Raw genomic sequence first — 21,820 nt, 5'->3', positions numbered from 1 at the left:
ATGGAAAGTCTGTCTTTCTTTTCTTTTCTTTTCTTTCTTTCTTTCTTTCTTTCTTTCTTTCTTTCTTTCTTTCTTTCTTTCTTTCTCACTTGCTTGCTTTCTTACTTGTTTTCTTTCTTTTCTTCTTTCTTTCCTTCTTTCTTTCTTACTTGTTTGCTTTCTTAATTTCTAACTTTCTGTCTTGCTTGCTTGCTTGCTTTCTTACTTTCTTTCTTTTCCTTCTTTCTTTCTTGCTTTATTACTTGCTTGCTTTCTTACTTTCTTTCTTTCTTGCTTGCTTTCTTTCTTACTTGCTTGCTTTCTTAATTTCTTTTTCTTTCTTTCTTGCTTGCTTGCTTTCTTGCTTTCTTATTTGCTTGCTTTCTTCCTTTCTTTCTTTTTTTCTTCCTTTCTTTCTTTCCTGCTTGCTTGCTTGCTTTCTTGCTTTCTTGCCTTCTTGCTTTCTTCCTAGATGGAGTCTCACTCTGTTGTCCATGCTGGAGTGCAGTGGTGCTATGTCAGCTGACTGTAACTTCCACCTCCTGGGTTCAAGTGACTCTCCTGCCTCACCCTCCTGAGTAGCTGGGATTTCAGGCCCACACCATCACGCCCAACTAATTATTTGTATGTTTACTAGAGATGGGGTTTCACCATGTTGGCCAGGCTGGTCTTGAACCCTTGACCTCAGGTGATCCACCCACCTCAGCCTCCCAAAGTGCTGGGATTACAGGCTTGAGCTACCGTGCCTGGCCAACCTCTCTTCTTTATAAATTACTCAGTCTCAGGTATTTGTCTGTAGCAATGGAAGAACTGACTAATACATCAGTTCATGTAGCGTCAGAAGCCAGAGAACCTAGAGACCACCCAAGTCCATTAAGTTTGTTATGGATCAGAAAACTGTCCCAGAGGCTGCCACGGGTGCATGTCGTGCTGACCAACTCAGAAGAAGAAATGCCACCTCTGGCGAGTATCTCCCACCATCCAGGGCAGAGTCTGCCGTTCTCAGCCCTATTCATATCTCTCATGCTCATTGATGTCTGCCAATGCACATACCCCCCTTCCTGCTGGAGAAAAGCCACAGGCAGCCAGATACCCCCTGCTCAGAAGGAAGGCCACCTAGAAGTGCAAAGATGCCTACGTTCCAAGGGACCCCACGCACGCTAAGCCCGTGTGCAATTTTGTGTAGGCCCATGAAGTTTGCACCTTTAGAGCTGCCAAAAAGCACCACTTAGAGATTGGTTTTTGGACAACTGCCCAGCAGCTCTGGGAAGTCCTCCACTGCCATAACTGTGAAACAGCCTGGATCTGGCTTCCAGGGAAGTGCTTTTCAATGTCATTTAAGTAATGGTGTGGCCGGCCGTGGTGGCTCATGTCTACAATCCCAGCACTTTGGGAGGCTGAGGTGGGTGGATCACCTGAGGTCAGGAGTTCGAGGCCAGCCTGGCCAACATCGTGAAACCCTGTCTCTACTAAAAATACAAAAATTAGCCAGGCGTGATGGTGGGCGCCTGTAATCCCAGCTATTCTGGAGGCTGAGGCAGAAGAATGGTTTGAACCCAGGAGATGGAGGTTGCCCTGAGCTGAGATCGCTCCAGCCTAGGTGACAGAACGAGACTCTGTCTCAAAAACACAAACAAAAACACACAACACGAAAAAATATTTTGACTCACTCCTGTCATCCCAGCACTTTGGGAGGCCGAGGTGGGTGGATCACCTGAGGTCAGGAGTTTGAGACCAGCCTGGCCAACTTGGTGAAACCCAGTCCCAACTAAAAATACAAAAAAACAGCCGGGCATGGTGGTGGGCGCCTGTAATCCCAGCTACCTGGGAGGCAGGAGAATCGCTTGACCTGGGAGGTGGAGGTTGCAGTGAGCTAAGATGGCACCACTGCACTCCAGCCTGGGCAACAAGAGCAAAACTCCATCTCAAAAAAAAAGAAAAAAGAAAGAAAGAAAGGGAAAGAAAGAAAGAAAGAAAGAGAGAGAGAAAGAAGAGAGAGAAATGAAGAAAGAGAAAGAAGAGAGAGAAATGAAGAAAGAAAGAGAGGAAAGAAAGAAAGAAAGGAGGAAAGAAAGAAATGTTGATACTAGGTAAGTAACAGAAAACACTCAATTTGCCAGAAGTCAAGTTTGGATAACCTTGGTATGGGATGGAATATTTTGTTCGTTTTGTTTGTTTGTTTTTGAGGTTTTTTTCTTTTCCTTTTAAGACAAAGTCTTGCTCTTTCACCCAGGTCTGGGTGCAGTGGCTCAATCTCAGCTCACTGCAACCTCCAACTTCCAGGTTCAAGTGATTCTCCGACTTCAGCCTCCCAAGTAGCTGGGATTACAGGCTCAAGCCACCACACCTGGCTAATTTTCTAGCATTAGACTCTTCCCATGCTGCTAATAAAGACATATCCAAGACTGCCTAATTTATAAAGCAAAGAGATTCAATGGATTCACAGTTCCACATGGCTGGGGAGACCTCAGGAAACTCACAATCGTGGCGGAAGGCACCTCTTCACAGGGCGGCAGGAGAGAGAAGGAGTGCCAGCTGGGGAAATGGCAGATGCTTATAAAACCTTCAGATCTCATGAGACTCACTCATTATCACGAGGCCAGTGTGGGGAAACTGCACCCGTAATTCAATTACCTCCACCTGGTCCCCCCCTTGACCCATGGGGATCATTATGATTCAATGTGAGAGATGAGTGGGGACACAGAGTCAAACCGTATCAGTCAATCATCTATCTATGTACAAATTCATCAATCATCTAGCTAGCTATCACCTACATAATATCTTTCATCTATCGTCTATTTACTTATCAATTATCTATCATCTCTCAATCATGTATTATTTACCTAGCTATTAATGTTATCTGTTATCTATCTATTGAATTTTTTTTTTTTTTTTTTTTTGAGACGGAGTCTTACTCTGTCACCAAGGCTGGAGTACAGTGGTGTGATCTCGGCTCACTGCAACGTCCGCCACCCAGGTTCAAGCAATTCTCCTGCCTCAGCTTCCTCAGTAGCTGGGATTACAAGTGCACACCACGGCACCTGGCTAATTTTTGTATTTTTAGTAGAGACAGAGTTTCACCATGTTGGCCACGCTGGTCTCGAACTCCTGACCTCATGTGATCCACCCACTTCACCTCCCAAAGTGGTGGGATGACAGGCATGAGCCACTGCACCCGGCCTGATTTTTTTTTTTTTTTTGAGACAGAGTCTTACTCTGTCACCCAAGCTGGAGTGCAGTGGCGTGATCTCAGTTCACTGCAACCTCTACCACCCAGGTTCAAGCAATTCTCCTGCCTCAGCTCCCTGAGTAGCTGGGATTACAGGCGCCCACCACCCCGCCTGGCTAATTTTTGTATTTTTGGTAGAGACGAGGTTTCACCATATTGGCCAGGCTGGTCTCAAACACCTGACCCCAGGCGATCCGCCCGCCTTGGCCTCCCAAAGTGCTGGGATTACAGGCGTGAGCCACCGCACCTGACTTATCTATTGATTATATATCCATCATCTATATATCTTTCATCTATCATGTAACTATCATTGACCTATATATTATCAATGTATCTGAGCTTCGACCTTCATGCCCATACTCCCATCATCCCTCAGTGTTTACACTAACATTCCATCCCCGCACATCTTTTCCAGCTGCATGACAAAGGTGCATATCCCAGGACTTCCCAGGCCAGCCATTCTGAAGTCTATATCCAGGGAAGTCCTCGGCCAGCCATTCCTAGTGAGGCTCTATCCTTTTTCAGAGTCCCTCGGCTTCCCCGTCTATGAAATGAGAAGCTGGACTAGATGCTTGGTAAACTCACTGCACCTGCTGCGACAGCGGCCCTGGTCACCATCCTTGCCCTCCAGCCCTTTCTGGTCATTTGCTCACTTGGTCAGCTCTTCCTGCCCCCAGTTCTGGACACCACTTTCAGGGAAATGGCCTGGGAATGCGTGGATGAAGTATAGACCAATATGAGTTGTATATCTTGCTTGTCTTGTCAGTGCAGCAAGCAAAACTCTAGCTATTGGTTCATCAAAGAATGAAAAAAGTCAAACGTCAAATTCCCATACAGCCCAGCCATTCTACTTCTCAACAGCTACCCAAAAGGAATGAAAACAGAGATATTTAACCAAAACATGTACATACATGTTCACAGCAGTGTTACTCACAATAGCCAAAAGGTGGAAATAGCCATGGTCCTCAGCTGACAAACAGAGAAACAGAATGTGCTCCAACCACACTGTGGAATATTATACAGCCATGAAAAGGAATGAGGCTCTGACACAGGCTACAGCATGGATGAACCTTGAAGAGATCATGGTCAGTGAAAAAAAGCCAGATACAAAATATTTTATCTCACCGGGTGCAGTGGTTCATGCCTGTAATCCTAGCACTTTGGGAGGTCAGGGTGGATGGATCACCTGAGGTCAGGAGTTCGAGACCAGCCTGACCAACATGGTGAAACCCCGTCTCTACTAAAACTACAAAAATTAGCCAGGCGTGGTGGTGTGCACCTGTGATCCCAGCTACTCAGGAGGCTGAGGCAGGAGAATGGCTTGAACCTGGTGGGTGGAGGTTACAGTGAGCCGAGATCGCACCACTGCACTCCAGCCTGAGAGACAGAGCAAGACTCTGTCTCAAACAAAAACAGAAACAAACAACAACAAAAAATATTTTACTGGCCTGGCATGGTGGCTCACGCCTATAATCCCATCCCAGCACTTTGGGAGGCCGAGGCGGGTGGATCACCTGAGGTCAAGAGTTCAAGACCAGCCTGGCCAACATGGTGAAACCCCCGTCTCTACTAAAAATACAAAAACTTAGGCAGGCGTGGTGGCGGGTGCCTGTAGTCCCAGCTACTCGGGAGGCTGAGGCAGGAGAATCGCTTGAACCCAGGAGGTGGAGCTTGCAGTGAGCCGAGATTGCGCCACTGCACTCCAGCCTGGGAAACAGAGCGAGATTCTGTCTCAAAAACAACAAAAACAACAACAAATATTTACCTCACCCATTATATGAGTCCATTTACATGAAATGTGTACAAAAGGTAAACCGACAAAGACAGAAAGTGGATTCGTGGTTGCCACAGGGGCTGGGGGATGGGGCACGGGGAGTCACTGCTTTGCGGGTACAGGGTCTCCATTTGGGGTGATGAGAACGTTCTGACTAGAATGCAGTGGTGTGATCTCGGCTCACTGCAACCTCCGCCTCCCGGGTTTGAGCTATTCTCCTGCCTCAGCCTCCCGAGTAGCTGGGATTGCAGGCGCCCGCCACCACGCCTGGCTAATTTTGTATTTTTAGTAGAGACGGGTTTTCACCATGTTGGCCAGATGGTCTCGAACTCCTGACCTCAAGTGATCCACCCGCCTCAGCCTCCCAAAGTGTTGGGATTACAGGCGTGAGCCGCTGCACCTGTCCATTTAGGATATATTATTTTTAAAACAGATTGAAAAAAATTGGCATGTCAATAAACATTCAATTTTTTCAATTTTTAAAAAGCAGTTGGGACTGGGTGCGGTGGCTCATGTCTGTAATCCCAACACTTTGAAAGATGGAGGGCAGGTAGATCACTTCAAGTCAGGAGTTCAAGACCAGCCTGACCAACATGGTGAAACCCCGTCTCTACTAAAAGTACAAAAGTCAGCCAAGCGTGTTGGCAGGTGCCTATAATCCCAGCTACTTGGGAGGCTGAAGCAGGAGAATCACTTGAACCCTGGAGGAGGATGTTGTCGTGACCTGAGCTTGCGCCAGTGCATTCCAGCCTGGGTGACAGAGAAGGACGTGGTCTCAAAAAAAAAAAAAAGAAAAAAAAAAGCAATCGACATATAAGAGGAGAGGTTAGTGCCCTCCAAAACTTGTAGCGTCTTCGAGGAAAATATCAAGGAAGGCAGGTTTTCAGGAAGCAAAGGCACTGCTTACCTTAATTAATGTACGCATGGATTGCTAATGAGACCTCTGCATCCAGGGTCTGTCCCAGTTCCTGTAATCTCATTTCCAGCTTGCCGGAGAATCTTTACAGGTGATCTCCATGATATTCTAATAACTCATCCTGTCTGCAGCCCATACACTGTATTTATTGATTTTCAGACTCAATAAAACCCTCTGGTCTGGGGCTATGCCCAATTCTCCCCTTCCCCCAGTATACGTATATATGTATACATATGTATGTATATGTGTATGTATACGTATATATGTATATATATGTGTATATATGTATATATACGTATATATGTATATATGAGTATATACGTATATATGTATATACGTGTATATATGTATATATGTATATACGTGTATATATGTATATATGTATATACGTGTATATATGTATATATGTATATATGTATATACGTGTATATACGTATATATGTGTATATACGTATATATGTGTATATATGTGTATATATGTATATATGTGTATATATGTGTATATATGTGTATATGTGTATATATGTATATATGTATATATGTATATTTGTATATATGTATATATATGTATGTATGTGTGTGTCTGTGTGTGTGTGTGTGTGTGTGTGTGTATATATATATATATATATATATATATGGAGAGAGAGACAGAATAGCTTTTACTGTTTAACCTTAAAAGTGTTGGTAGTTGTGGCCACGCATGGTGGCCCATGCCTGTAATCCCAGCACTTTGGGAGACCGAGATGGGTGGATCACCTGAGGTCAAGAGTTGGAGACCAGCCTGACCAACGTGGTGAAACCCCGTCTCTACTAAAAATACAAAATTAGCCGGGCGTGGTGGTGCATGCCTGTAATCCCAGCTCCTCAGGTGGCTGAGGCAGGAGAATCGCTTGAACCCAGGAGGCAGAGGTTGCCGTGAGCCAAGATTGCGCCACTGTACTCCAGCCTGGGTGACAAGAGTGAAACTCCCTCTCAAAAAAATAAAAATAAAAATAAAAAAATTGTCATTACTTGTTTTAAGTCCTGTTGTACCTGGAAAAAAAATTACTTTTAAAGGTATATAGTTTTCTTTCTGGTGTCTCTCCATTGTCCCCATAAATGGTGATTGGCTTTATTCCTGAAATTCTCCAGGGAATTGTGTGTGTGTGTGTGTGTGTGTGTGTGTTTGTGTGTGTGTGTGTGTGTACAGAATTTTTTTTTTTGGTGCAGTAATTTCCCTTTTTGTGTGTGCAGGCATTTCCCTTTCTCTGATTTTCTGTGTGAAAACTGAAGAAGGAAAGATGTCAGATATATGAGGCTTTCCCTAATCCCATCAAACCAGCATTGGCAATGGTTTCCATCTTTGCAACAATTTCTGTGTCTGTTGGTCCAGCCCAGGTGCACCTCTGTCCCCGCTAGGGTTTCCAGAGGCCAACGTTATCTCCGCCTCTAACCTTTTAATTTACACAAGGCATTTGAACCTCATTCACCCCAAGACTGCCCTGTAACTCCCTACTTTACAAACTGGGGAGTGGGGTCCCTGAGTTATTCTAGATCAGAACTCTGGATTCCCAGGGACTCCCATCATGGTTTATTGGTTTAAAATTTGGGGCATTCTGGCCGGGCGCGGTGGCTCATTCTTGTCATCCCAGCACTTCGGGAGGCCGAGGTAGGGGGACCTCCCGAGGTCAGGAGTTTGAGACCAGCCTGGACAACGTGGAGAAACCCCGTCTCTAGTAATACATATGTAACAAACCTGCACGTTGTGCACATGTACCCTGGAACTTAAAAGTATAATAATAATAAAAAAAAGATTAAAAAAAATTAGCCAGGCATGGTGGCCGGTGGCTGTATTGCCAGCTATTTTGGAGGCTGAGGCAGGAGAATCCCTTGATCCCGGAAGGTGGAGCTTGCAGTGAGCCGAGATCGCACCACTGCACTCCAGCCTGGGTGACAGAGCGAGACTCTGTCTCAAAAAAAAAAAAAAAATAGGTAAAAGGAGCTGTCATCCCAGCATTCTGGGCGGCCAGGGTGAATGGATCACTTGAGACTAGGATTTTGAGATCAGCCTGGGTAACATGGCGAAACCCAGTCTCTACTAAAACTACAAATATTAGCCGGGCATGGTGGCAGGTGCCTGTAGTGCCAGCTACTCGGGAGGCTGAGGCAGGAGAATCACTTGATCCCGGAAGGTGGAGCTTGCAGTGAGCTGAGATCGCACCACTCACTGCACTCCAGCCTGGGCGACAGAGCAAGACTCCATCTCAAAAAAAGAAAAAAAAAAAAGCTGAAAGAAATCCTGTCCTCTGTCTCAGCCCCAGTGAGAGGATTAGCAAGATTTTGTCTTTGAAGACCTCCAAACTTCCAGAGAAGTCTTCCAAGTAAAATATCCAAAATTCAGGTCTGATTGGAAACGTATGTTATCAATATTTGCAAATGCTTCTGCCCTGTTGGAAAATTCAAGTCCAAACAGGGCTCGTTCTGAATATCCCTGTTCACATCCAGTTATTGATCAAATTTTTCCCGGATTCGTCGACATAACCCTTGGGGACAGTCCCCTAAAACCACCAAAGGGGACATTCCCCTGAAATCATCAGAGTTATTGTACTGGGTTCAAATGCAGCTGTGAAAGAGAAGAGAGGGTAGTGAAGTTTAAAAAAAAAAAAATTCTGTATTCTACTCCATTCCCCAGGGCCCTCTCAAAATACACAGTATGCTTTTATTGATGATTGCTGAATTTCCATTTTAATAAAATAAATGGAGATACATGCGGATAATAGCTCTGTTCAATATTTATGAAGTGTCTTTTTAGAATAATTTCAGAAATTCAGTATTAATCATTACAACCATTACACTCCACGAGCATATAAATAACAAACGGAAACACCATTTACTTCTTGAAAACCTATAATGAAAAGCAGGTGAGGACCCAATTTCATGTTTGAGGAATTCATCCTTTCAGGGTTGGATTTATGGGATTCTAGAGAGACATTCTCGGCTTACCCTGGGCCCGAAATATAGGTGTGATAATCATAGCTTTCTCCCACATTGAGGTGAATAAGCGGTTTTTTATTTAAGGCAAGAAACGCCGTCCAGAATTTTTTTTTTCTTTTTTCTTTTCTGGCGAGGAAGCTGAACATTTGTCTTGCAGAGCCGAGAGCCGAGCCAGCCAGGTTGTTGCAGACACCCAAAAGAGAGAAAAAAATAGATAAAAAATGGGATACAAAAAGTAAAGGGTACTCGTATTACTGGAGAACTCAAAAAGCAAAAGCAAGAGGACGGAGCCCAGGGGAGAACCACGGCTTCGCGTGTCTTAACAGAAACACACTGGGCACGTTGGCTCACGCCTGCAACATCCCAGCACTTTGGGAGGCCGAGGCAGGCAGATCACCTGAGGTCAGGAGTTCAAGACCAGCCTGGCCAACATGGCGAAACCCCGTCTCTACTACAAATATGAAAATTAGCCAGCTGTGGTGGCAGGTGCATGTAGTCCCAGCTACTCGGGAGGCTGAGGCAGGAGAATCGCTTGAACCCGGGAGGCGGAGGTTGCAGTGAGCTGAGATGGCACCACTGGACTCCAGCCTGGGCGACAGAGCGAGACTCCATCTCCAAAAAAAAAAAAAAAAAAAACAACCAGAAACACATTCGGTGTGACTCTTGGACGGGCTTTTACGCGAAAGGTAAAGTCAGCCTGGTACCCAGTTCCTCCTGCCCTTCTGTGCACTGCTACACATGAGGAAACATCCAACTCATTCATCGAGGCCCCTGTGGATAACCTAGGGCCCTCATCCCAGTGTTTCTCGGCTTTGATCCGTGATCTCCTGGTGACTGACATCCTACGTCTGCCACACAAATGACCCCAAACCCAGAAGCTTTTACAACAAGAATTTTTCCTGTCCCAGTCCTGGCATCCAGCAGTCTGAGAAGAAGGTGTCTCAGGGCCGTGTTCCCTCTGGAGGCTGTAGGGGAGGGTCCTTCCTAACTCTCCCAGCTCCTGGGGGCTCCAGGCATCCCTGGGCTTGTGGCCGCCTCACTGCAGTCTCTGCCTCCGTCTCTACGTGGCCTTCTCCTCTGTGTCTGTGTTTCCTCTTCTGTCTCTTAGAAGGACATTCCTCATTGGGTTTAGGGTCCCCCTAATGCAGGATGATCTCATCTCAAATTCCCCCACTTAATTCCAACTGCAGAAACCTTATTTCCAAATAAAGTCCCACTCATAGGTAGCACAGGTTAAAACAGCCCGTGTCCGGCTAATTTTTTATATTTTTAGTAGAGACGGGGTTTCACCATGTTGGCCAGGCTGGTCTCGAACTCCTGACCTTATGATCCTGTCTCTTTCGGGGGACATAGTCAAGCTACCACCACAGCCAATGATCAGAGTTCTGCTGGCTTAGCTGCTTTTTCCAAAGGAAGACATTTCAGTTTCTACCCATGGAGATTTAGCTGGGGGTGGGACTACCTTTGACCTGGAATAACGCGTTGTGAAGAATTAAACCTCATTCCTGGGCTGGGCACCGTGGCTCACACCTGTGATCCCAACACTTTGGGAGGCTGAGGTGGGAGGATCAGTTGAGGCCAGGAGTTTGAGACCAGCCTGAGCAACATACTGAGACCTTGTTTCTACAAAACAGAAACAATTTAAAAAAATTAGCCAGGTGTGTTGGTGCAAACCTGTAGTCCCAGCGCCCGGGAAGGCTTGAGCTCGGGGAGGTGGAGCCTATTTTCCCCACACAGCGTCGGACTTCTAATTCATCCTCCTCCCGCACTCAGCAACTCCGCTTGGCTAATTTATTCCGGGAACCTCTGGCCACGACGGGCAGCCCCTCGCCTCGCCCTGACTGCGGGATCATTGCGTTAGCGACTCCCCTGTCTCGTTAGCGCACCTCCTGCATTGCATTAGGGCTTGTGGTCCCCGCCAATGTGATAAGAGACCCACGTATGCGATAGGCACATAGCTGATCGGATTTTGCAAATCACGTTACTGGTGCAAGGGACAGGTTTTCCTTCTGTTTAATGCCTCAGTCATGCCTGGTTGGCACCACTGGGTTCCAGCCTGGATGACAGAGTGAGACTGTGCCTCAAAAAAACACAGGAAAACACCTTGGAAGCCCTTGTACACATCAGCTCCCATCATAAGAAGTGTGTAGGACGGGCGCCATGGCTCACGCCTGTCATCTCTGCACTTTGAGAGGCTGAGGTGGGTGGATCACAAGGTCAGGAGTTCGAGACCAGCCTGGCCAACATGGTGAAACCTCACCTCTACTAAAAATACAAAAGTTAGCCGGGCGTGATGGCGGGTGCCAGTAGTCCCAGCTACTCGGGAGGCTGAGGCAGGAGAGTCGCTTGAACCCAGGAGGCAGAGTTTGCAGTGAGCCGAGATTGCACCTCTGGACTCCAGCCTGGATGACAGAGTGAGACTCTGCCTCAAAAACACAAAGTGCTTAGTACAGGAAAACACCTTGGAAGCCCTTACTCAGCTCCTATCATAAGAAGTGTGTAGGACGGGCGCCATGGCTCACGCCTGTCATCCCAGCACTTCAGGAGGCTGAGGCAGACGGATCACAAGGTCAGGAGTTCGAGACCAGCGTGGCCAACATGGAGAAACCCCAACTCTACTAAAAATACAAAAAACTAGCCGGACATGGTGGTGGGCACCTGTAATCCCAGCTACTGGGGAGGCTGAGGCAGGAGAATCGCTTGAACCCGCGAGGCAGAGGTTGCGGTGAGCTGAGATCGTGCCACTGCACTCCAGCCTGGGCAACAAGAGCAAAACTCCGTCTCAAAAAAATAAAAGATAAAAATAAAAAAATAAAAAGTCAGGAAACAACAGATGCTGGCGAGGATGTGGGGAAATAGGAATGCTTTAATACTGTTGGTGAGAGGAAAACAGGGAAAGTTAGAGTCCTGTTTTTAGTTTTTTGTTAGCTTTTTTTTTTTTTTTTTTTTGAGACGTAGTCTCCCTCTGTCACCCAGGCTGGAGTGCAGTGGCGCGATCTCAGCTCACTGCAACCTCCACCTCCCAGGTTCAAGCGATTCTCCTGCCTCAGCTTCCAGAGCAGCTGGGATTACAGGCCACAAACCCAGCTAATTTTTTGTATTTTTAATAGAGACAGGGTTTCACCATGTCTCTAGTCTCCTGCGATACTCCTGCCTCAGTCTCCCTAGTAGTTGGGATTACAGGAGCCAGTGACCACACCCAGCTGATTTTTGTATTTTTAATAGAGACGGGGTTTCACCATGTTGGCCAGGCTGGTCTCGAACCCCTGACCTCAGGTGATCCACCCACCTCGGCCTCCCAAAGTGCTGGGATGACAGACATGAGCCACCACGCCGGGCCACCCAGTGTTTTTATAAGAAAAAGCCATGATCCCAACCCCATTGCATTTTCCAAACACACATGAGCGGGTTTTCTTGAGGGGAGCGTTCACAGACTCTGCTCTCCATTTTCTACCCAGATGTTGTCAAACAATTTGCCGAGCACCAGAAGGTGAAGAATTTCCCACTGTTACACTGTGAGCTTCTCCGGAACTTTCCACAGCTCCGTTTTTTTTTTTTTTTGTTTGTTTGTTTTTTTTTCTGCTGGACACTCTACGTTCACACCTACGTCCCTGTTCAAATGCAAAAGAGATTCTTAACGGTCTTGAAACCCCGCCGAGCTTTAGGTGTGCAAATCTGCAGAGGAGGCCTCTGTAAGGCTTTGGAGAGATGGCTGAGGCCAGACATAAGCCTCTTTTCACCCCTAGAGCTTCCCAGATCTCCTCTGTCACCCCTCCTGCCCTTACGGGACGCAGACATTTCTCTCTGTAGGGTGGGGGTAGTTAGAACCTTTTTCTCTCTGCACAGTGGGGAGTAGTTAGCACCTTTATTCACGATCAGAGCAGCCGATTATCCTGTAAACAGCCCAGCAGAGTCCATCTGTAATTCGACTTTGCCACTGTTGGTTGGCTTTAGAGATTTGGCATGTCGGCTGCAAGACGTAGATTTTCAAAACTTCATTTTGAGGCGGTCGGATGACACGAGACCTCCTATTTTTTTTCCTTTATTTTATTTTATTATGATTATACTTTAAGTTTTAGGGTACATGTGCACATTGTGCAGGTTAGTTACATACGTATACGTGTGCCACGCTGGTGAGCTGCAGCCATTGACCTGCGGGTGGCTGTCGATGAACTTTGTTCGTAGGAGGCTCAATCCAATTGTGAGTGTCCCGTCCATCGGCCGGGCTGCAGTTGAGACGGATTGAAACCGATTCGGATCAATCATCCTCATCCTGCCTTCGAAGGCAGACCGGGGAGGGGGTGCTGGTGACCGGGGACGCCCGTGTGATGCTGGAGACACACGGCCCCCTGTTCCACATCTCCCGTGTGTCACATTAATTTCCACGTCATCCCGCAATTCAATGAGATGTGGACCCCGTGTCACCACGTGCAGTCCTGCTCATCTCCTCACTAATTCTCAATTACCGTAAAATGAAGCCATAAATCACGCAGACAGGGGATCGATAGGAACGTGGTTTTCCGGGTGATTGGCACAGCCTCCCCAAAGGTTTTCTGTAAGTTGGTTTAAGATGACCAGGTCCTCCGAGGGTGGGGAGAGGGGGGCGTTGGGGGTGGCCGGGACAGGCCTCTGCGTCCCCAGGCCTTGGGAGACCAAACCGAGGGACGTCGCCAATTTCAGCCCATCAGACATCCAATTCTTCTCCTTTTTATACCTGCTTTAGTAAACGAGTGACAAATTAAATTTCGCCACCCTATAGCAGCACAGAAAACCATTTTAATTTTTCATGGAAACTAAATCGTCCCCAGACAAATAGCCCCTTGATTCTATGAAAATAGACTGCCTTGCTTGGGACAGAAATACATTTGTGTCACTCTGGATATGCCTTTCTCTGTAATGTCATTCACCGCGGGCCGGTAAATGAGACGGCTGCCGAACACAATGGCCAGGAAGGGGCTGTCGGCTTCTAGGGGTTGGAAACGAGGGGAGGTGGTGCCCCCCTTCCCAGTGCAGGGAGGCGTCCTCATCACCCTGTTATTAATTTGCCGGCTGAGCTTTTACATTCATGAGGTGAAGATTGAAATGTAAATGAACCCCCCCCCCCACACACACACACAGACACACACACACACACACACACACACTCGTCAGCTGTAGCCAGGGCCCGGCCCACAGTGTCAGAGACTCTGAGAAGAACACGGAAAATACTGATCACTCAGAGAGATGAGTGCCCTGAGCATCCATCATCGGGGCTGGGAGACAATAGATACAATCGCTCCCGAGGGAGGCGTGGAAGGGAAGGTGACGATAAGAGGGCCAGGGATATGAGGACGATGTTGCTACCTGTTGTCCGGGAGCGAAGGTTGCTGTTGTCCTACCTAGAATCCTCCTCATCTCTGGCATTCTACGTGCCAGTATTTCAACAGTGACTTTTTTTTTTTTTTTTTTTTTTTTTTTAAATCTTGGCCGGGCTTGTGGGCTCACGCCTGTCATCCCAGCACTTTGGGAGGCCGAGGCTGGCGGATCACTTGGGGTCAGGCGTTCGAGACCAGCCTGGCCAACATGCTGAAACCCCGTCTCTACTAAAAATACAAAAATTAGCCGTGCGTGGTGGCAGGTGCCTGTCATCCCAGCACTTTGGGAGGCTGAGGTGGGTGGATCACCTGCGGTCAGGCGTTTGAGACCAGCCTGGCCAACACGCTGAAACCCCGTCTCTACTAAAAATACAAAAATTAGCCGTGCGTGGTGGCGGGTGCCTGTCATCCCAGGTACTCTGGGAACCGAGACAGGAGAATCGCTTGAACCCGAGAGGCGGACGTTGCAGTGAGCCGAGATCACGCCGTTGCACTCCAGCCTGGGCCACAGAGCGAGACTCTGTCTCAAAAAAAATAGTGCCATGTTTTGTTTTGTTTTTTTTTTTTAATCTCAATTTATCTCCTCCCTCAGTCCCCCGGGAAGCCGTTTGGAGGTTTTGGAGGTGTGGCGGCCACCTCTCAGTGCTGACAGATGGAGGCCCACTCGGCTTGCCTTGGGGAAACAGGCCAGGGAGTTCACTGGCTGAGCCTCCCCAGGGGCCTCCCCGGCTCACTAATGGTTTTTATGCTTTAATTGAGCAGCTCAGACTGTGTGTGGAAAAGCAAACAAAAGGCCCAGAAGGCTTGATCCGCAGCATTGAGTGAGTGCGGGTCAGGTTGAGTTGCAGGAGGGACTGGGGGGTCTGGGGGAACGAGGACTTGTAAACGGCTGTGGGGATGAGTCCTGGTGAGGGGTTCCCCTGCTCAGCAGAGTCACGGGGCCTCGGCATCTTCCCTTCGGGCCACAAAGGACAATATTTTCTGTTTTCTGCTTCCACCTGGACCTCCGGTGGATAAAGGGAATATACGAACGGCCTTCAGAGTTTGGGGCTGGTACTAGCTTAGGGGTTCAGCTTGTCTTTGGAGCTCCTCATGGGGAGGTGGGCAGACACTGTAGTTCAGACCCCAACCGTTCTCCGCTCCCCGACGCTGAAGACCCATCTCAGTGCCCATACGGAAGCCTCATCTCTCCACCTTTCCCCTCTTAGCGTGTTCGGCCCTATTGTTACAGGAAAAGCGTCCCGATCCAGACGGCAAGAGAAGGTTCTTGGATCTTGTGCAAGAAAGACTTCAGGGAAAGCCCGTAATGCAAATTAAAGGAACTTTATTAAGAAAGTAAATTGGGGCCAGACACGGTGGCTCACGCCTGTAATCCCAGCACTCTGGGAGGCCGAGGCGGGCAGATCACCTGAGGCCAGGAGTTCGAGACCAGCCTGGCCAACATGGTCAAACTTGGTCTCTATTAAAAATAGAAAAATTAGCTGGGCATGGTGGTGGGCATCTGTAATCAATAGCTACTCAGGAGGCTGAGGCAGGAGAATCGCTTGAACCAGGGAGGCGGAGGTTGCAGTGAGCTGAGATTGCACCATTGCACTCCAGCCTGGGCGACACAGTGAGACTCTGTCTCAAAAAAAAAAAAAAAAAAAAGGCCGGGGGCGGTGGCTCACGCCTGTAATCCCAGCTCTTTGGGAGGCCCAGGCGGGTGGATCACCTGAGGCCAGGGGTTCGAGACCAGCATGGCCAACATGGTGAAACCTGGTCTCTATTAAAAATAGGAAAATTAGCCGGGCGTGGTGGCTGGTGCCTGTAGTCCCAGCTACTCGGGAGGCTGAGGCAGGAGAATCGCTTGAACCTGGGAGGTGGAGGTTGCAGTGAGCTGAGATTGCACCACTGCACTCCAGCCTGGGTGACAGAGCGAGACTCTCTCTCAAAAAAAAAAAAAAAAAAAAAAAAGGAAACTAAATTGGTAAAAGAACAGCTCCTCCATAGACAGAGTAGGGCATTTCTGAAACTGAGAGGGGGAAGCTTCCACCGCAGATGCAATAGTTGTTTATATATAGGATAAAAAAATATCTTGGGGACGTATGCTCTGCTAGGAGGGTTTGTGATAAAGGATTAATGTTCTTAATTACTATATGTTGCAAGAATCAATATCATTATCTTTAAAGCAAAATCAGGAATACCTTCATTCTTCAGATATTGAGATAGCTGGATAGTCCCAAGTCGGGGTCTATTTAGTAAACATTATTAATTTATTCCTTTTTTTTTTTTTTACTCTTTTGTTTTGTTTTTTGAGACAGAGTCTTACTCTATCACCCAGGCTGGAGCGCAGTGGAGCGATCTCGGCTCACTGCAACCTCTGCCTCCTGGGTTCAAGCGAGTCTCCTGCCTCAGTCTCCCTAGTAGCTGGAATTACAGGCACCAGCCACCGCGACTGGCTAATTTTTCTATTTTTAGTAGAGAGGGGGTTTCACCGTGTTAGCCAGGATGGTCTTGAACTCTTGACTTTATTATCCACCCGCCTCAACCTCCCAAAGTGCTGGGATTACAGGCGTGAGCCACTGTGCCTGGCCTAATTTGTTCTCTTAACCATAAATACATAGAGGCTAGGAATGTTTAACTTTCTGGGAATGCAGCCAGCAAGCCTCAGCCTCATTTTCCGAGCCCTCACTCAAGATGAAGTCGCTTTCGTTCGAACGCCTCTGACGCTATTGGCCTTAATCCTCCTGATTTTGCTTGGAGAAATCATGAAAATGTCTTTCCAATCACTAAGAAGGGGTTCCCAATAGCCCCAAACACACATGGGCAGGTGATGGACCAGGCAGTTAGTTTTTTTTTTTTTTTTTTTGAGATGGAGTTTCACTCTATTGCCCAGGCTGGAGTGCAGTGGCTCGATCTCAGCTCACTGCAACTTCTGCCTCCTGGGTTCAAGCGATTCTCCTGCCTCAGCCTCCCAAGTAGCTGGGATTACAGGTGCCCGCCACCATGCCCAGATAATTTTGTACTTTTAGTAGAGACGGGGTTTCACCATGTTGGCCACGCTGGTCTCGAACTCCTGACCTCAAGTGATCCACCCGCCTCGGCCTCCCAAAGTGCTGGGATCACAGGCGTGAGCCACCACCCTTGGGCAGGTGCTTTTTAAAAGTGTTACATTCTCATAACCACCCTGCAGGTTAAATCCTCTTCTCCTCCACAGTTGGGGAAAGTGAGTCCCAGGAATGTTGGAGAGCAGGCTTGGGTCACAGTCAATGCAGGCAGTGAGCAGTCACCGTGGGCCCCTTGGCTACAGCTGGTTGAGTGGATATTCCTGAAACGCCAGTCTCAGTGGATAGATAACCATCAGTAGATAAGTCTAATAGATAATAGATCATTTGAAGCCATCAGTACTATACTGCGTTTGTACGAGCAGGTGCTTGCACCGTATTCAGGGGTGAACTAAGCTAATGTCTTGTGTTCACTCACAAATGCACAGGCCTGGTGTGGCTTGCAGACTTGAGCTGAAAGCAGGCACCACACCTTGCTAGCTGGGTGATGTTAGGGCAGCCGGACCACCTAGCACTGAAGGAAGGCATGGAAGTTTTCAGCACTCCAGACCCCTCCCTGTTTTCACTGTGGAAATGGCATAGCTTGTGAAGTGCATCTGAGGCTCTGTTCTTTGCTTGCTGCCTTAGTGATCTCAACAGTGTCAGCTTCAGCAAGAAACAGACAATTTCCAGACCCCAATGGCGTTGTAAACAATTGCATGTGTTTTTTTGTTTGTTTCTTTGTTTTGTTCATTTTGTCTTTTTTTTTTTGAGACAGAGTCTCACCATGTCGCCCAGGTTGGAGTGCAGTAGCACAATCTCAGCTCACTGCAATCTCCGCCTCCCGGGCTCAAGCAATTCCCCTGCCTCAGCCTCCCGAATAGCTGGGATTACACGCGCACGCCAGCACACCCAGCTAATTTTTGTATTTTTAGTAGAGATGGGGTTTCGCCATGTTGTCCAGGCTGGTCTCAAACTCCTGACCTCAGGTGATCCACCTTCCTTGGCCTCCCAAAATGCTGGGATGACAGGTGTGAGCCACGGCGCCTGGCTTTTTTTTGTTTTTTTTTTTTTTTCTTTTCCAAATGTTGAGGTTTTGCGGAATCCCTCTCACCTACATGAGTATGTGTAGCTGCTGTGTTGCAGCCATATCCCTGTGTGATGCGGAGTCCATGTGCTGGAAGATAACTATATCGAGTGATAAGCCGCAAGTGTATGGAGTTATAAGCTGCAAGTGTATCCAGTTATAAGCCCCAAGTGTATCCAATTATAAGCCTCTCCATGCAAAAAAGAAGTGAAGTAAAGAAAACTCCCATTGTTGGCCTGGCGCGGTGGCTCACGCCTGTCCTCCCAGCACTTTGGGAGGCCTGAGGCGGGTGGATCACCTGAGGTCAGGAGTTCGAGACCATCCCGGCTAACATGGTGAAACCCCGTCTCTACTAAACATACAAAAAAGTTAGCCGGGCGAGGTGGCGGGTGCCCGTAATCCCAGCTACTCGGGAGACGGAGGAAGGAGAATGGCGTGAACCCGGGAGGCGGAGCTTGCAGTGAGCTGAGATCGCGCCACTGCACTCCAGCCTGGGCGACAGAGCAAGACTCCATCTGAGAGAAAGAAAGAAAGAAAGAGAAAGAAAGAGGAAGGAAGGAAGAAAGAAAGAAAGAAAGAAAGAAAGAAAGAAAGAAAGAAAAGAAAGAGAGCAACAAAGAAAGAAAGGAAGAAAGAAAGAAAATAACAAAGAAAGAAGGAAAGGAAGACAGAAAGGAAAGAGAGAAAGGGAGGGAGGAAGGGAGGGGAGGGAGGGAAGGAAGGAAGAAAGAAAAAGAAAGAAAGAAAGAGAAAGAGAGAGAAAGATCGCATTGCAAGGACAGGCATGGAGATGGGTGCCTACAGGTAACATGGTGATCTTGCGTTAGGCTGCGCAGGGCGGTGTCTGCTGGAATAAGCGGGGAAACTCCTTCTTCGTGCTTGCACTCCGGGAGTCCTCCCCGATGAGTGCTCCTGGTTCCTCTTGACGGCCCCTGCAAGTGCCCCCAGGAATGACCTGACTCTCAGAGAACGTGGGTTAGACCCTCTGGGGGTCTGTCTTTGGGACAACCGGCCTGCTCAGAGGAAGCTGAATGGGTCAGGTCTCCCCGACAAGGGGAATGTCCACCGTTTTCACCCCTCCTTGTTCCTCATTAGAAGGAGAGCAAGTTCAACTTAAGAGAACTAACGAGGAGGCTTAACTGCTCTCAGATCCAGATCTGAGAGGATCAGTACCTTTATCCGTTGGGGAAAGAAGAAAAAAATAAGGATGCTTTTCCCCGTGTGTTTGATCCCTGTGGCTGTATTTGTCAATAAGTCCTGAAGCAAAGAAAGGAAGAGAAGGGCAGGGTTTGCTGGCTCACACCTGTCATGCCAGCACTTTGGGAGGCCGAGGTGGGTGGATCATCTGAGGTCAGGAGTTCAAGACCAGCCTGGACAACATGGTGAAAACCCGTCTCTACTAAAAATACAAAAATTAGCTGGGCTTGGTTGCGTGCACCTGTAATCCCAGCTACTCGGGAGGCTGAGGCAGGAGAATCAATTGAACCTCAGGGGAGGAGGTTGCGGTGAGCTGAGATCATGCCACTGCATTCCAGCCTGGGAGACACAGAGATACACTGTCTTAATAATAATAATAATAATAATAATAATAGTTAGCCAGGCATGATGGCAGGTGCCTGTAATCCCAGCTACTCGGGAGGCTGAGGCAGGAGAATCGCTTGAACCCGGGAGGTGGAGGTTGCAGTGAGCCGAGATCACGCCACTGCATTCCAGTCTGGGAGACACAGAGAGACTCCGTCTCAAAAATAATAATAATAATAATAGTTAGCCAGGCATGATGGCAGGTGCCTGTAATCCCAACTACTCGGGAGGCTGAGGCAGGAGAATCAATTGAGCCTCAGAGGAGGATGTTGCAGTGAGCTGAGATCACACCACTGCACTCCAGCCTGGGCAATAGAGTGAGACTCTGTCTCAAAAAAAAAAAAAAAAAAAAAGAATTGGAAAATGACTCAAACAGGTACTTGTCCACAAACTTCCTAACAGCATTATTCACAATAGCTTAAAAAAAAAAAACCCAAATATCCATCAACAGAAGAATCAACAAATAGATTGTATTCCATTTGTACTATGAAATATTATTTAGCCATGAAAAAGAAGGCTTGGTTGGATGCGGTGGCTCACACCTACAATCCCAGCACTTTGGGAGGCTGAGGCGGGCAGATCACTGGAGGTCAGGAGTTCGAGACCAGCCTGATCAACATGGTGAAACCCCATCTCTACTAAAAATACAAAATTATCTTGGCGTGGTGGTGCACGCCTGTAATCCCAGCTACTCGGGAGGCTGAGGCAGGAGAATCACTTGAACCTGGGAGGCGGAGGTTGTGGTGAGCCGAGATCACGCCACTGCACTCCAGCCTGGGCGACAAGAGTGAAACTTCGTCTCAAAAAAATAAACAAATAAAAAAAAAAATAAAGAAAAAGAAAAAGACTCTCCGTGAAATAAGCCAGCCACACAAAAAACCACATAACGTAGGGTTCCATTTGTAGAAACAAACTTGAATAGGCAGATCCAGAGAGACAGGAAGTAAAATTAGACATTTCCAGGGGCTGGGGGACGGGGAGTATGAGGAATGATAGTTTAATACATAGAGAGTTCCTGTTTAGGTGAAAAAGAAAAACTTTGGCTTTAGACAGTGGGGATGATGCCACAACACTGTGAATGTATTTTATTTTATTTCATTTTTTATTTTCTTTTGGAGACGGAGTCTCGCTCTGTCACCCAGGTCGGAGTCCAGTGGTGTGATCTCGGCTCACTGCCACCTCCGCCTCCCAGATTCAAGCAATTCTCCTGCCTCAGCCTCCCGAGTAGCTGGGACTACAGGTGCGCGCCACCACACCTGGCTAATTTTTGTATTTTTAGTAGAGACGGGGTTTCACCATGTTGGCCGGGCTGGTCTTGAAATCCTGACCTCAGGTGATCCACCCGCCTCGGCCTCCCAAAGTGCTGGGATGACAGGTGTGAGCTGTGAACATATTTTATGCAACTTTAATTGTTCACCTTGAAATGGTCAAGTGGCCATGTTTAGGTTCTATACAGTTTGCCACAATTTTGAAAGAAGTCTGTGGCCGGGTGCAGTGGGTCATACCTGTCATCCCAGCACTTTGGGAGGTCAAGATGGCTGGATCCCTTGAGGTCAGGAGTTCAAGTCCAGCCTGGCCAGTATCATGAAACCCCGTCTCTACTAAAAACACAAAATTAGCCGGGCGTGGTGGCGGGTGCCTGTAGTCCCAGCTACTCGGGAGGCTGAGGCAGGAGAATCGCTTGAACCCAGGAGGCGGACGTTGCAGTGAGCCAAGATCACACCACTGCACTCCAGCCTGGGTGACAGAGCAAGACTCCATCTAAAAAAAAAAAAAAAAAAAAAAAAAAGGCCGGGCACGTCGGCTCACACCTGTAATCCCAGCACTTTGGGAGGCCGAGGCAGGCGGATCACAAGGTCAGGAATTCGAGTCCAGCCTGACCAGCATGGTGAAACCCCGTCTCT

At 47.8% G+C, this 21,820-nt stretch overlaps 10 annotated features.

The window, feature by feature from the left end:
• Nucleotides 10,687-11,187: an enhancer, noted in NCBI's record as "H3K4me1 hESC enhancer chrX:753798-754298 (GRCh37/hg19 assembly coordinates)". NCBI's record gives its function as "activates a minimal SCP1, AML or CMV promoter by ChIP-STARR-seq in naive H9 embryonic stem cells {active_cell/tissue: H9 hESC(naive)}" and the evidence as "EXISTENCE:reporter gene assay evidence [ECO:0000049][PMID:30033119]".
• Nucleotides 12,974-13,690: an enhancer, noted in NCBI's record as "NANOG-H3K27ac-H3K4me1 hESC enhancer chrY:701295-702011 (GRCh37/hg19 assembly coordinates)". NCBI's record gives its function as "activates a minimal SCP1, AML or CMV promoter by ChIP-STARR-seq in primed H9 embryonic stem cells {active_cell/tissue: H9 hESC(primed)}" and the evidence as "EXISTENCE:reporter gene assay evidence [ECO:0000049][PMID:30033119]".
• Nucleotides 12,974-14,161: a biological region, named in NCBI's record as "CNE5 enhancer downstream of SHOX". NCBI's record gives its function as "regulatory_interactions: SHOX".
• Nucleotides 13,135-14,160: an enhancer, noted in NCBI's record as "CNE5 reporter construct fragment". NCBI's record gives its function as "activates a SHOX or beta-globin promoter in ovo in chicken limb buds, in day 2 and day 3 zebrafish embryo brain, skin, heart, fins, muscle, notochord and eye, and in human U2OS osteosarcoma cells {active_cell/tissue: limb bud | brain(d2-d3) | skin(d2-d3) | heart(d2-d3) | fin(d2-d3) | muscle(d2-d3) | notochord(d2-d3) | eye(d2-d3) | U2OS}" and the evidence as "EXISTENCE:reporter gene assay evidence [ECO:0000049][PMID:17200153, PMID:22791839, PMID:26631348]" and "EXISTENCE:transgenic organism evidence [ECO:0001131][PMID:21731768]".
• Nucleotides 13,135-14,161: an enhancer, noted in NCBI's record as "CNE5 PCR-amplified transgene fragment". NCBI's record gives its function as "activates a beta-globin promoter in mouse E11.5-E12.5 neural tissue, especially in hindbrain {active_cell/tissue: hindbrain(E11.5-E12.5) | neural(E11.5-E12.5)}" and the evidence as "EXISTENCE:transgenic organism evidence [ECO:0001131][PMID:23575226]".
• Nucleotides 13,228-13,287: a conserved region, noted in NCBI's record as "conserved region; CRCNE00011099 more deeply conserved sub-region". NCBI's record gives the evidence for it as "EXISTENCE:sequence alignment evidence [ECO:0000200][PMID:21731768]".
• Nucleotides 13,300-13,464: a conserved region, noted in NCBI's record as "conserved region; CRCNE00011098 more deeply conserved sub-region". NCBI's record gives the evidence for it as "EXISTENCE:sequence alignment evidence [ECO:0000200][PMID:21731768]".
• Nucleotides 13,514-13,800: a conserved region, noted in NCBI's record as "conserved region; CRCNE00011097 more deeply conserved sub-region". NCBI's record gives the evidence for it as "EXISTENCE:sequence alignment evidence [ECO:0000200][PMID:21731768]".
• Nucleotides 13,904-13,963: a conserved region, noted in NCBI's record as "conserved region; CRCNE00011096 more deeply conserved sub-region". NCBI's record gives the evidence for it as "EXISTENCE:sequence alignment evidence [ECO:0000200][PMID:21731768]".
• Nucleotides 14,101-14,150: a conserved region, noted in NCBI's record as "conserved region; CRCNE00011075 more deeply conserved sub-region". NCBI's record gives the evidence for it as "EXISTENCE:sequence alignment evidence [ECO:0000200][PMID:21731768]".

This window comes from Homo sapiens, chromosome Y (genome assembly GCF_000001405.40).
Source record: "Homo sapiens chromosome Y, GRCh38.p14 Primary Assembly".
Lineage (NCBI taxonomy): Eukaryota > Metazoa > Chordata > Mammalia > Primates > Hominidae > Homo > Homo sapiens.
This window is presented reverse-complemented; position numbering and strand designations above follow the sequence as displayed.